Below are 13,140 nucleotides of genomic sequence, written 5' to 3' on the forward strand. Positions count from 1 at the left end.
AAAGACGGTATGAGGTTGGCTACCTTAACCCCTGCCTTAAGCAGCACAATATCCATCATTAAACCCCTCAGCCTCAATTCTCCCTTTTCTGTTTTTGTCCCAGGAACTTTATCACCCTGAATCTACCTACAATATCCTCCCCTATCTCACACATCCAAATGGTTCATTCTATTTTATCTGTACCCCTCTTGAAGTACTTCTTCATTTTGCCATTGCATTACAATCATTATTAAACATGTCTTTCTCCTTTACTAGGTAAAAAAAGCTGCTTTTGGTTGATAGCCAGTTCGTATACATCTCCCCGCACACTGCTGGCATGATGAGTGAATGAATGAATGAATGAATGAATGAACAAAGAAATAAATAAAATATTTAACATATATTCCATTAAGTAAAGGGCATATAATATAATATCAGTACATACTTGTAATTAAGATGCAATGAGACAAGTGAGTTATAAAAATTACAGTACAGTAAACAATAAATAAAAACATCTTTAAAAGTATTTAAGAGACTTTTTTTGTTCAAACTTGGATAACGCACACCCTTCTCATTGAGATGCTGCTTCCTCATTGGTTTGTGCTGAAATATGAGTGCAATTTCCTGTCCCCTCAGCAGTGTTGGTTTCTCTTCTTGACTTGATGCAGGCACAGATTTATCAAGCTCCTCAGTCAACAAACACATCACCGGAAGAAATATGGGTAAGTATAAGATTAAAAAATAAAATAATATTTTAAAGTAGATAACATGCTTTGGCATAATTGTCAGTGATGTTCGCAACATTCTTCCTGGTTTAGGCTGTATAAATGTGGTAATGCAAAGCATGATAAGAGAGAAAGAAATGAGGAAGACACATGGTTTCCTCTACTTTGAGCAGTGGTAAAGGGCCAAACTTTAAATTTAGAACTAATTAGGCAAAACCATAGATATAGAAAAAGGGGGTTGTTCATACTTTATTTTCTTTTCAGGAAACAGTGCTTTGGCAAACTTCATTCAGTATTAGGAAGAAGCCTACCAGCCCCTGGCTTTAGAGCTATCTGGCACCAATCCCTCATCTGTACAATGGTCCAGTAAATACTTTTTATATCCATCAGAAAAAAATGTGATATTAGGAAAGAATATTTCCAGTATTAATAAATGTCAAGTAATAATTATTAGTTAATAAGTGACTACCACAGTGCCTGAAATATATAGTAGAGTCTTAATAAGTAACTATTAAACTGATAGATGAAAGCAAGCATTTTCTATAACACTGTAGGAAAATATTGTACTTTTGGTCATCGTCATCAATGATTTGTACTATTTTTAGATCTGTTCAAGAATAGATATACTTTAATATACTGTAGATTGTCTTTTTTGACATCTGGTAAAAATTAAAAAATTAAAAACTCACCAAAATTTCTCAGTGCTTGTTCTAAAAACAATTTTCTCAAAATTTGATTAAAGGAGGCAAAATAATATCTGAAAAGATATGTGAATACTGTAATAGGAATTATATACAGTATTCCACTAAAATCTCAGATCCACCCAAATTAAATGAACAACTATTATCTGCAGAGCCTAGTATTATACGTGAAGTGTTACCATATAAATTACACTCTGAGCACCTCCAGCTTTTCTGCTATGCTGTGGCTAGATGACTAAAGATGATTTCTTTTCAGAAAATGTAGGGGACAGCACAAAGATTGGTGCAGACTACCAATGTCATTAAAACAATATTACCAGCTAACGTACAGTGAATGCCTCCCATGTGCTAGGAACTTTGCTTCATATGTCGTTTCATTTAACCCTCACAACAATCTTAGAAACTGGGTACTAACTTACACATGTGAAAACTGGAACTTAGAGAGGTGAAGAAACACCAATGGGCCCAGAGTGCTGTTGAGAGGCATTCGAATTGTCTCCAGAGCCCACGCTCTTAACCACAAGCCTGTACTGCCTCTGCGTCACTACAAAGAAGAGGGCCTCTGCTTCATCAACCCATCCTGTCTTGTGGTTAAGTCAAGGCAGGAAATGCTTTTACAGCTAGAGAAATGTATTCCATTGAAAACTTTATAAACCTTTCTAAAAATCATTTTTTCATTTAATCTGTCATACCATTTTTAAAGAAAATGATGACTATCTATTGAGTAACACGGACAAAGGAGGAAGAGGCACATGCTGCCCATTACCCGACTTTCTCGGTCCTGGTCTTAAGGGGAGGATGTTTTCATGGTTCAGGTGTTCTTCCCAAGACACATGAGCCTGGTGTTGGACGTGTTGTGTGTGCATCAGAGTCCCATCCGCGGGGGCTGATTCAATCTTCCTGCATCGCAGACATTACCCTAGTGTCCTTTTCCTACTTCAGTTATATCCTTTAGAAGTTTCTTTAGTGGGGATTTTGGATGTAAATGTTCTGAGTGGTAGTTTACCTGAAAATGTCCTAATTCTTGCTCTGGTCCTTGAAATTTAGTTCTGTTGAGTATATAATTATAGGATGACATATATTTTCTTAGCAATTTGGAACTTTTAATCTTCTGCTGTCTGTTATCGCTGTTGAGAAGTCTTTTGTCCGTCTAAATTCCATCCTTCATAGGTAGTCCATCTTTCCTCTCTGGCTCTTTTTTCCTTAGTCTTTGGTGAACTGCAATTTTATTGCAATGTGTCTAAGTATAGGTTTCCATTTTTGTGTTTTTAATCCTATTTGGGATTTTCTAAGCTTCATAAATCTGCAGATTTCATGAGGATTGAAGATGCATGAGGATTCTTCATCCATCCTCAAGATTCCTTCATCAGTTCTAGAAAGCTCATCATCTTTGTGAATATTGCCTTTTCAACATTCTCTCTTTTCGATCTTTATGGAATTCCAATTATGTATATGCCACCCTTTTCACCTTTTCTCCATATCTCTTATATTTTCCCATGTCCTTAACATGCTGATAATTTTGTGTTATTTCTTTATCTCTATCTTGCAATATACAAATTTTCTCTTCAGCTGGATCTAATCAGTTGGTTACTCCCTGTGTTTATTTTTAAATTTAAATTATTATTATTTTTATTTTTAGAAAGTCTTTTTCAATCTTTCTAAAAATATGGCTTGTCATTTTTTAATCTCTTCCTCCTTACTCATGTGTTTAAATCCCTTCTTTTGTTTCTTTAAACATATTAAACATATTTTGTGTTTTTTATATATATATATATAAATTTTATCTCTAAAGTTTTGTGGATCTGGTTTACTTTGTTGTTTCTGCTCAATCTGACACGTAGTTGCTTATTATTCTCTCTGTGTGTATGTGTGTGTGTGTGTGTGTGTGTGTGTGTGAATAAGGTCATATTTGTTAGAACTCTATCTGTAGGATTCTTTGAGGCCTGAGTTAAAGAGGACTTGTTCAAGGGGGGATCTGTGTCAACTTCTTCCAGGAGCCTAGAATTTATTTTTTCATATATAGTTAACCTTTATTTTTGGTGAAGTTATTTTCATAATTAGGTAAATTATTTATTTATTGTTTTCTCTCAATTACATTTTATGTATGAGGATAGAAATAAGATCAGATTTCTTAAAAAGGCATATATGTTCCATCTGTGGGTAAAACAGATGTTTGTTTGTCAAGATGCTCTACATGCCATCTCACACAGCCTTTTGATTCCACTTTTTAATGTTTCCATTGCAATACAATACACATGCAGCAAAATGCACATATCCTAAGTGTACAGCTTGATGCATTTCTACAAACTGAGCATGCTCATGGAACCAGCCACCCCTACCAAGAGATAGAACATTGCCAAATCTCAGAAGTCCTCCTCATGCCCTCTTCCAACAGTACTCAGCCTTTCCCCAGAGGTAGCCACTACCCAGACTCCTAACATCATAGATTAACTTTGCCTGGTTTGTATCAGATAATACATACTCTTTTGTGTCTTTTTTTTTATCACTCAGAATTACATTTGTGATCTTCAACCATGCGATTGCATGTAGCAATAATTTATTCATCTTCATTGAGGTGTAGATTTCAGTGGTGTTACTATATCCCAATTTACTCATCTATTATACTGCTAGTGGGCATTCTAGTTAAGGGATATTACAAGTAGTGTTACTGTGAATATTCTAATTCTAGTACCTGTCTTTTGGTTAACATATGTATGCGTTTATGTTGAACAAATACCTAGAGGTGGAATTGCTGGATCATATGGCATGCATAAGTGCCTAGTGTTTTTTTACTCAACAGCATATGAGTCAAGATGTTCTATTTCCTTCCTAACACTTGATATTTTGTCTTATTTTCATTTCATTTGTTGTGTTGGGTGTGTAGTGGTATATCATTTTAATTTTAGCTTGAATTCCTCTGATGACTAATGAAGTTGAGCATGTAGGTTGGCCTGAAGTTTGCAGGATCAAACTAATAATGTAGACCCAGACCTAGTTTCCAAGTGAGGACCCCACAGGCCACAACTACTTAGGGTAGAATTTTTTATTGTAACTCCTCACAGAAACCAAGCAGAGGCAGGGAAATTGCCATCTTTTCTCTACTGTCTGCAAATGTCTGTGGAATTTATTTTATTTTGTTTATTTTCTAGTTCACCCTTTCCCTGACAGCAGAGGTTCTGGATCCCATGTGTTTGGGATGGTCAAGGACCCCTTCTTACCTGCATAGGCCCAAGTTTTGTCTCTAGTTTCTCTGATCCCTAGTGAGTTCCTCCAGATCTACATATGTCTTCAGGCCATCCAGAGCTCCGGCGCTCACTCACCTCCCTGATAACAGCTCCCACCTCCTTTCTTCCATCACAAATTTTCCCCCCCTTTGGAAGCTTCCCTATTTATTTAAAAGGCTGTTTTTCACATTTTATTCCTGTTTTTTAGGTTGATAAAGCTAAAAGTTTTCAGGAGTTTTAGTTACCTGTTTAAGAGTGAAATATGATATATTTTCCCATATGATTTACTCTGCTAGTAGAATTCTTGTGACTTGTGATGGCAGGTCTTTTTGTGCTCAGGATTCATCAACAGTTGGGAGGGAGTGATTCTGGTGCCCTGAATAGTGTTTCTAGAAAGCTTTCTGTGAAGGTATTCACCATGTAAATGATCTCAGCCACCAGTAGGCCTCAGCAGCAAAGGGATATAGACAAAGTATTTCTCTACTCCAGTATGGAGAGAAGGATGGAACCTTTACTCTTATGTGAATCTATGACATCATAGCTTTAAAAAGACACTAACCTCTTAAACCATCAGATATAAAGGTGGAAATTAATGATTCCAAGATTTTACCCAGAATAAGAACATTCTGTCCTCTCATTTATAAAAGTATAAGAAAAATAAAGTGAGTTAGTCGACAAAGGAAATAAAAAGATAAACAGAAGTAGGATTGTCTAATTATATGCTAAGGCTTAACAAACTGCTACATTTTAAAATTCTAAAACTTTATTGTATTTCTATTATAGTATTTCTTTGGATAATAAGGTGATTTTTGAAAGTGCCGTACACCTAGATTGAATATGAAATTAGAAATTTGAAATCACATAACCATACAGTTGATCACACATGCAAAAGTATTTACCAATCACAGACAAATAACAGAATTTTTTATCTTTAGCTGCTGAAATGACTTTTTAAATTGAGTTTTGTGTTCTTGGGTTATATCCATTGAGAAATATAATTCGCTCTAATCTAACATGCCTCAGGTAGTTCTTATTTGATATAAGTAAAATGTCTTGACTTGATTTTATTTACTGAAGTCAATAAGATAATTTTCCCATTTTAAACACCTTCACTGTAACTTAATGCATTTTCAATATCTTCAATACATGAAACAAAAAGGGATTATTTCAAAATCCTGATTGTAATGAAGTCATGCATCTTAAACATCTAAACAATTTTAATTCATCTTTCATTACAGAAGGAAAGGAATTTTAAAAGGAAATACCAATCTCTGTGCAAACAAAGCCTTGTATATTCATGTTTGCACCAATCTACTGTGAGATTTATGAAGAAAAACAAATTGCGGACAACTCTCTATGTACACTTACAAATGCCTCAGTTGATGCTTGTGGGCTGTTTGTCAGCGTTCTGTGATAATGAACACATGGACTTCTGTTTATTAAATTCAGTTGACCCCTTTAGCCAATTGCCAGGAGCCTGGATTTTTACTTCCAACTGCTGATATCTGTGTAAAAATTGATCTACATCCACCCTTTAAAAGCATTGATGAATTAATTAGAACTTTAGACAACAAAGAAAAATTGAAAAAGAATTCTCAGTAAAAGCGAATTCGATGTTCAAAACAAACTACAAAGAGACAAGACTTCTCTGTTTACTTTCTAAGAACTAATATAATTGCTACCTTAAAAAGGAAAAAATGAACAGCACATGTATTGAAGAACAGCATGACCTGGATCACTATTTGTTTCCCATTGTTTACATCTTTGTGATTATAGTCAGCATTCCAGCCAATATTGGATCTCTGTGTGTGTCTTTCCTGCAAGCAAAGAAGGAAAGTGAACTAGGAATTTACCTCTTCAGTTTGTCACTATCAGATTTACTCTATGCATTAACTCTCCCTTTATGGATTGATTATACCTGGAATAAAGACAACTGGACTTTCTCTCCTGCCTTGTGCAAAGGGAGTGCTTTTCTCATGTACATGAATTTTTACAGCAGCACAGCATTCCTCACCTGCATTGCCGTTGATCGGTATTTGGCTGTTGTCTACCCTTTGAAGTTTTTTTTCCTAAGGACAAGAAGATTTGCACTCATGGTCAGCCTGTCCATCTGGATATTGGAAACCATCTTCAATGCTGTCATGTTGTGGGAAGATGAAACAGTTGTTGAATATTGCGATGCCGAAAAGTCTAATTTTACTTTATGCTATGACAAATACCCTTTAGAGAAATGGCAAATCAACCTCAACTTGTTCAGGACGTGTACAGGCTATGCAATACCTTTGGTCACCATCCTGATCTGCAACCGGAAAGTCTACCAAGCTGTGCGGCACAATAAAGCCACGGAAAACAAGGAAAAGAAGAGAATCATAAAACTACTTGTCAGCATCACAGTTACTTTTGTCTTATGCTTTACTCCCTTTCATGTGATGTTGCTGATTCGCTGCATTTTAGAGCATGCTGTGAACTTCGAAGACCACAGCAATTCTGGGAAGCGAACTTACACAATGTATAGAATCACGGTTGCATTAACAAGTTTAAATTGTGTTGCTGATCCAATTCTGTACTGTTTTGTAACCGAAACAGGAAGATATGATATGTGGAATATATTAAAATTCTGCACTGGGAGGTGTAATACATCACAAAGACAAAGAAAACGCATACTTTCTGTGTCTACAAAAGATACTATGGAATTAGAGGTCCTTGAGTAGAACCAAGGATGTTTTGAAGGGAAGGGAAGTTTAAGTTATGCATTATTATATCATCAAGATTACATTTTGAAAAGGAAATCTAGCATGTGAGGGGACTAAGTGTTCTCAGAGTGATGTTTTAATCCAGTCCAATAAAAATATCTTAAAACTGCATTGTACAGCTCCCTCCCTGCGTTTTATTAAATGATGTATATTAAACAAAGATCAATATTTTCTTAATGACTCAGGGTCTTTATTGTTAATGCCAATTGTTTTTGTATCTGTGCTATAATCCCTTAGAGTCAGTAAAGTATGTAGGGGACTGTTTCTTCCTTTGTGTCTGGGTTTATGATTTTTCTCACTCTTTCTTTGGACTCCAGGGTGTCAGCCATCAGGTCTCCTAATTTTGTGTACCGGTCTCCAACAACCCCAGCTACTGAATACTGCTTCTAATCTCCTCATTCATTAACAAATCTTTATTTTTTTATCTTGTATAAAATAACTGCTTTATTGACACAAAATTTACATAACTTAAAATTCAACTTTGTATTGTGTACAATTCAGTGATTTTTTGTATATTCACAGAGCTGTGCAACCATCACCACACTCAAAAAATTTTCATCACCCACCAAAGAAATCTTATACTCTTAGCAGTCGCTCCCTGCTCTCCCGTCCATGCCAGTTATTAATTTACTTTCTGTCTCTAAGGATTTTCATTACTCTGAACATTTCATATAAATAGAATTATACAATATGTGGCCTACTGTGACGTATTTCACTTAGTATAATGGTTTCAAGTTTTATCCATGTGTAGAATGTATCAGCACTTCATTTCTTTTTATGGCCTGATAGTATTCTGTTGCATGGTTATACTCCATTTTGTTTATCTAATCACTTGGCTTCATTAACAAATATTTATTGAATCCATTCCATAAACTAGGTTTTGAGTTAAGTACTGGGGCTATGAAAGAAATGGTCTCATGAAGCCTCACGAAGTTTACATTAGTTCAAAAGCCTAGTCACCGAGCTTGAAAGATTTCTATATAAAGGAAAAGGAAATAGGCTCTGAGTTTTATTTTGATCTCTTTTTAATTTATAACTGGGTATAACATAGCTGAAATTACCAGAAGTTTAATGCATAGACAAATAAATAGTTCTATTATATCTTTCTTTTTGGACTTAGAATGTTAGAATATTTTGAGAGTTCTTTTTTTTTTTTTTTTTGAGTCAGAGTCTTGCTCTGTAATCCAGGCTAGAGTGTAGTGGTGCGATCTCCACTCACTGCAGCCTCCACCTCCCAGGTTCAAGCGATTCTCCTGCCTCAGCCTCCCAAGTAGCTGGGATTACAGGCACCCACCACCATGCCCAGCTAATTTTTGTATTTTTAGTAGAGACGGGGTTTCACCATGTTGCACAGGCTGGTCTCAATCGAACTCCTGACCTCAAGTGATCATCCCACCTAGGTCTCCCAAAGTGCTGAGATGACAGGCGTGAGCCACCATGCCTGGCAAAGAGAGTCTTGATACAACATATTCTTTTGAATCCTCATTGTGTAAATTGCCTCGTTGTAAATAGACACTCAGTAAACATTTTCCTCACCAAAATATTTTTAAGGATTTTTCTACCCTTCTCCTTTTCTCTTTGCTTTCCTTTTCTTGCCTGTTCTTTCCACTCCCCCCAAAATGATCAGATAGCAAATGTCTTGATAACATGAGGTGCCCTCACATTAAAAAACAAAATATTGAGCCGGGCGCGGTGGCTCATGCCTGTAATCCCAGCACTTTGGGAGGCTGAGGTGGGCAGATCGCCTTAGGTCAGGAGTTGGAGACCAGGCTGACCAATATGATGAAACTCTGTCTCTACTAAAAATTCAAAAATGTGCCAGACCTGGCCTGGTGGCATGTGCCTGTAATCCCAGCTACTTGGGAGGCTGAGTCATAAGCCTGCAATGGGAAAATGGATCGAATCTGGGGTGAGGGGGAAGTGATGTGGGGGTTATGGTACCTCTTTTCTCTTCCAAAGATGCTGTTCTTACTGCATCACTTGTGGCTGGCCAGGAAAAGCCATGCAGGAGTTTTGTTTGTGGCCACTAGGTGACGATCGTGTTCTGTACGGGACCTCTTATTAATAGTTCACCACTAGCCGCCACTCCAGAAGAGCGGAGGAACCCAGGATAATATTTTGTCAACCAAGAAACAAGAAGTCCCTCCCAGGAACTGGAAATGAATGGGGAAAATGCTGAAATCTCATTTGCACTATTCATTTCTCTTCTCTCTGGAAAGCTCGGCAATCATCAGGTCATTTCATTTGGCTTAAATTCCATGTGTCTTTCCAAACTTTTAAAAGCTGGTGAAAATTGTTCCACCCATATGTAAAAGAACATAGGTTAAGTTGTCTAATTCTTGCAGGAATGTGGATATAGCATTAAAAATATGTCTTTGTATACTTATCTTACCCATGTAAGAAAAGAGTGGCCAACTTTCATATAAATAGAAAGAGAACATTTAAGCTATATGCAGTTTGCATTTTTGTCTACTATTATGAAATTATTATCTATGAAATTCAAGCTGTAACTCAACATATGTATAATTTTAATTTCTAATTTATTGTTAGATCTCAGCACTTAAAAAATTACATCTTGTATTTGAATTGTTAAATCTGTTCCCTGCAAAGAACAGTAATACAATCATGTTCTAATTTACTAGCATTTGCATATTTTAGAAATATAATGGCCTGTAATTTACTTTTCTTTTGCCTATAATTTTCTGAAGCTCTTTATGATGCACCGGTGCATTTTTATTTAAAAAATAGATTGTGACTCCTCAAATAATGTTACAATTCGATGTTCAAAAAGCAATCCAGGTACATAGCCATAAAGGGATGAGCTAGAGAGGTCTCCATATTATCATTCAATGTGAGAATAAAAATTCTATATTTTATTCTAGAATAAAATTATAAATTTCTTTATCTAGGAAATGTGTGTTCATTGAACTTCAAATCTAACACAAGCAAGAAAGCTTACCCTGCAATGACTTGATTTGCCAATACTGTTAAAAATATTAACTTTAGTTCTCAGCATTTCATTGAAAGCTGTTAGATATTTGCTTGAGCTTGTAAGCATCCTTCTAAAAGAATTATTTTCAGAATTACTCTAAAATTTCTGGTATTGCCTCCAAGACTGTTGACACTAACAAAAAATTTAACTTGGAAACCTCGATTGAAAATTTAGAAACAATTCTTGTTCTGATCTCCAGAAAGGACAATTTTAAGGGTATTCTCACTGGTAATCACAATTGTTTGTTGGATAAATAAATAATAAGTTAATTAATCAAACAAACTAAAAATGCTGCAGTTTTACAGTTTGTCCTAACCTCAGGATTCAGTTCCTAAAACCTTTAGGGCTATTTGTATTCCTGGTGGAAAATTTTAAGATTATATGGGAAAGTAAGGTTAAAGAGAAAGAGTCTCCCTTTAGGAAAGCTGTTATTAATAATTTTTACATTTGCTGAACTAAAATAGTAGGAACAAACATTAGCAAATGACATTTTATTCATCTTAAATTAGTAGTAACAAGAATTGTCATGTTAATTTCCAGCTATCATTCCTTGCTCATGAGAAATGTTTTTAGGATATCCCTTCCTTAAATTTTTAGTAAGCTGTTCATCAGTTGACTTACTTTTGTTGCAGACTACACAGTGGCATGAATCTCTGTTCATGGAATCAGTGCTGCGAGAAAACATTGTTACATTTTCTTTATCAGCTTAATTGTAAATCCCAGCCCACATACCACCAAGCTATAGGAAATTCCATCTCAGGCATTATGGGATTGTCTTCCCCTTTTTGGTTTACACCAGAATCGGGAGGTTTACATGATGCTAAGAAAATGAAAGGGGTCTTTGATTTATAGTCACCAGTGATGGTAATATTGCCTAACCTTTTAGTGGTTGCTTGATTCCTTTACGGCCTCCCTGAATCTCTTGGGGCACAGGGCAGGACCTGATAGGAGCCAGTTAATGGCCCAGATTCTTGTGCATCAGGTAGAGTTTCCTTCAAAATGTCGTATATCCTCATGCGAACTAAAAATAAAATCCTAAAATTCTAAGCCCCCCAACTGACTGAAAAGACCCCTCTTGGCTGGGGGACCCCAGAGAAACCTTAAAAACTGAGTTCCTAGCCATGACAGAATGGGAGCTTGTACACACCTCATTGCACCCACTCTGTTTTACAACTTAGACACAACAACTGACCAGTGTTAATGTTAAAATGGAGATCATAAGACTGACAAAATGGACTCTTTATGGCTATAAGATACTAAATTGTAAACAAGACCTAAGGTCACGCCAAGCAAGAGTTAAGTCACATACCCCCGTACTTAAAGAATAAACTATGTTCCACCTGCCACAAGATTTTTCTTTTTCTCTAGCAGCTAAACAAGCACTGGCCTCGAGATAAGAAATATTGAAACAATTACAGCTCACCAATTGCCAGATGCAGCCTGATTTCACCCCTCTGTTCCACAAGCCATCACTACAGCTCTGATGTGACAAGAGGTTGATTTTGGTAACTTTCTCTTGATGAAAGACCACCAACCATGGACTGGTTCTGGCTGGTTTACAGAGGCTGCGCACTTGAATGCCTCTGTGTCTCTGCTTCACCTTTTGACATACAAGGCCTAATTGTAATGCATTTATATGTTAAGTCTCCACACAAAAGTGAACATGCAACATGCATGTTTATTCAGTGCACACGCGTTAGGACACCCTTCATGAATATTTATAGCTACTCTTATAACCTGCTAAATATTTATACTTGGCTAACCTGTTCAGCATAAATCCCTGTTCCATCCTCCCCTCCCTCAATGTACCTGCCTTCTGGCTTCTACCAGAGGCTACGTTTCCCAGCCTGTCAAAATGACCACTCTGCAGGCTGTAACCCTTTATGAGAAATCAACTCTCCATTCTAAATGTAACATCTCATAATGTTTCAGCTGACACTTCAGAGCTGCCTCTTTTTAGGAATGCCTGACATCCAGACCTACATGGTTCTTGGCTTTAGCAATGGAGCACGTAGTACCTAAATAAGTCAATCAAAGCCACAGTGATTGGTTCAGTGGTGGGCATGTGACCGAACTTGCTTAGATTCTGGGACAAAGACTCTTTCTTTTAATCTGGATGTGGTGGTATGTGAATGAGATGCCTGGAATCCTTGTGGCCATTTTGTTAACATGAAATAGCCAATGCATGGGAAAAAGGAGAGCTCAGGGAATCACACAACACTGGAGCTGTGTCCTAAAGATACAGAGAGTCTTGAATATTGCAGGTACATGAACCAAATACACTTCCTTATTATTTTAATGTGAATCTGGTATTTTTGTTCCTTGAATCCTGAAGGATCCTAATGGAATTTGGAACATGGAAGTGAGGGTGATGTTACAGACTCCAGACTGTTGAATAGGCAGAGCTGAAGAGCTGCAGTGGAGAAGGCAATGCCAAGATAGAGCTAGCTTGTGATGTTAGTAACCCATGTTAAGTGGTAGCAAAATCTCTGGTTAAACTATTTCCTGCTATATCCCGAGACTCAGATAATGTCCACCAAGGGTCTGGAATCAAGACTTTGGAAGGAAAAATTCAAAATGTTGGTGGTTTTTGGCTTCCTCTTATAGCTTTCAATAAACTGCCACAAAAGACAGATAAAATAATACAATTTTTTGAGAGCTTTTCTGTTAAATTTTTCAAATCCAGAAAACACTGCTGCCCTGTGGGGCCTACACACAGAAACAGTGTGTTTTATGCTTCAGGAAAAGGGTAAACTTTAGCTAGAA

General features: G+C 36.6%; 1 protein-coding gene across 1 annotated transcript, besides 2 other annotated features; it reads left to right on the plus strand.

Annotated features, from left to right (window-relative positions):
• The first annotated feature begins 613 nt into the window (after positions 1–613).
• On the plus strand, positions 614–10,290 carry GPR65 (G protein-coupled receptor 65). Its single transcript, NM_003608.4, has 2 exons — positions 614–701; positions 5,868–10,290. The coding sequence occupies exon 2, from the start codon at positions 6,327–6,329 to the stop codon at positions 7,338–7,340; it is 1,014 nt and encodes a 337-aa protein (NP_003599.2). The 5' UTR covers positions 614–701; positions 5,868–6,326; the 3' UTR covers positions 7,341–10,290.
• Positions 1,029–1,198: an enhancer, noted in NCBI's record as "experimental_38639 CRE fragment used in MPRA reporter constructs". NCBI's record gives its function as "activates a minimal promoter by MPRAs in K562 erythroleukemia cells, with activity observed for both the introgressed and non-introgressed 14:88471979 variant alleles {active_cell/tissue: K562}" and the evidence as "EXISTENCE:reporter gene assay evidence [ECO:0000049][PMID:34662402]".
• Positions 1,999–2,058: an enhancer, noted in NCBI's record as "active region_8834". NCBI's record gives its function as "activates an Ori minimal core promoter by ATAC-STARR-seq in GM12878 lymphoblastoid cells {active_cell/tissue: GM12878}" and the evidence as "EXISTENCE:reporter gene assay evidence [ECO:0000049][PMID:35858748]".
• Positions 10,291–13,140: the final 2,850 nt, after the last annotated feature.

The sequence above is a fragment of the Homo sapiens genome, chromosome 14 (genome assembly GCF_000001405.40).
Source record: "Homo sapiens chromosome 14, GRCh38.p14 Primary Assembly".
NCBI classification, from domain to species: Eukaryota; Metazoa; Chordata; class Mammalia; order Primates; family Hominidae; genus Homo; species Homo sapiens.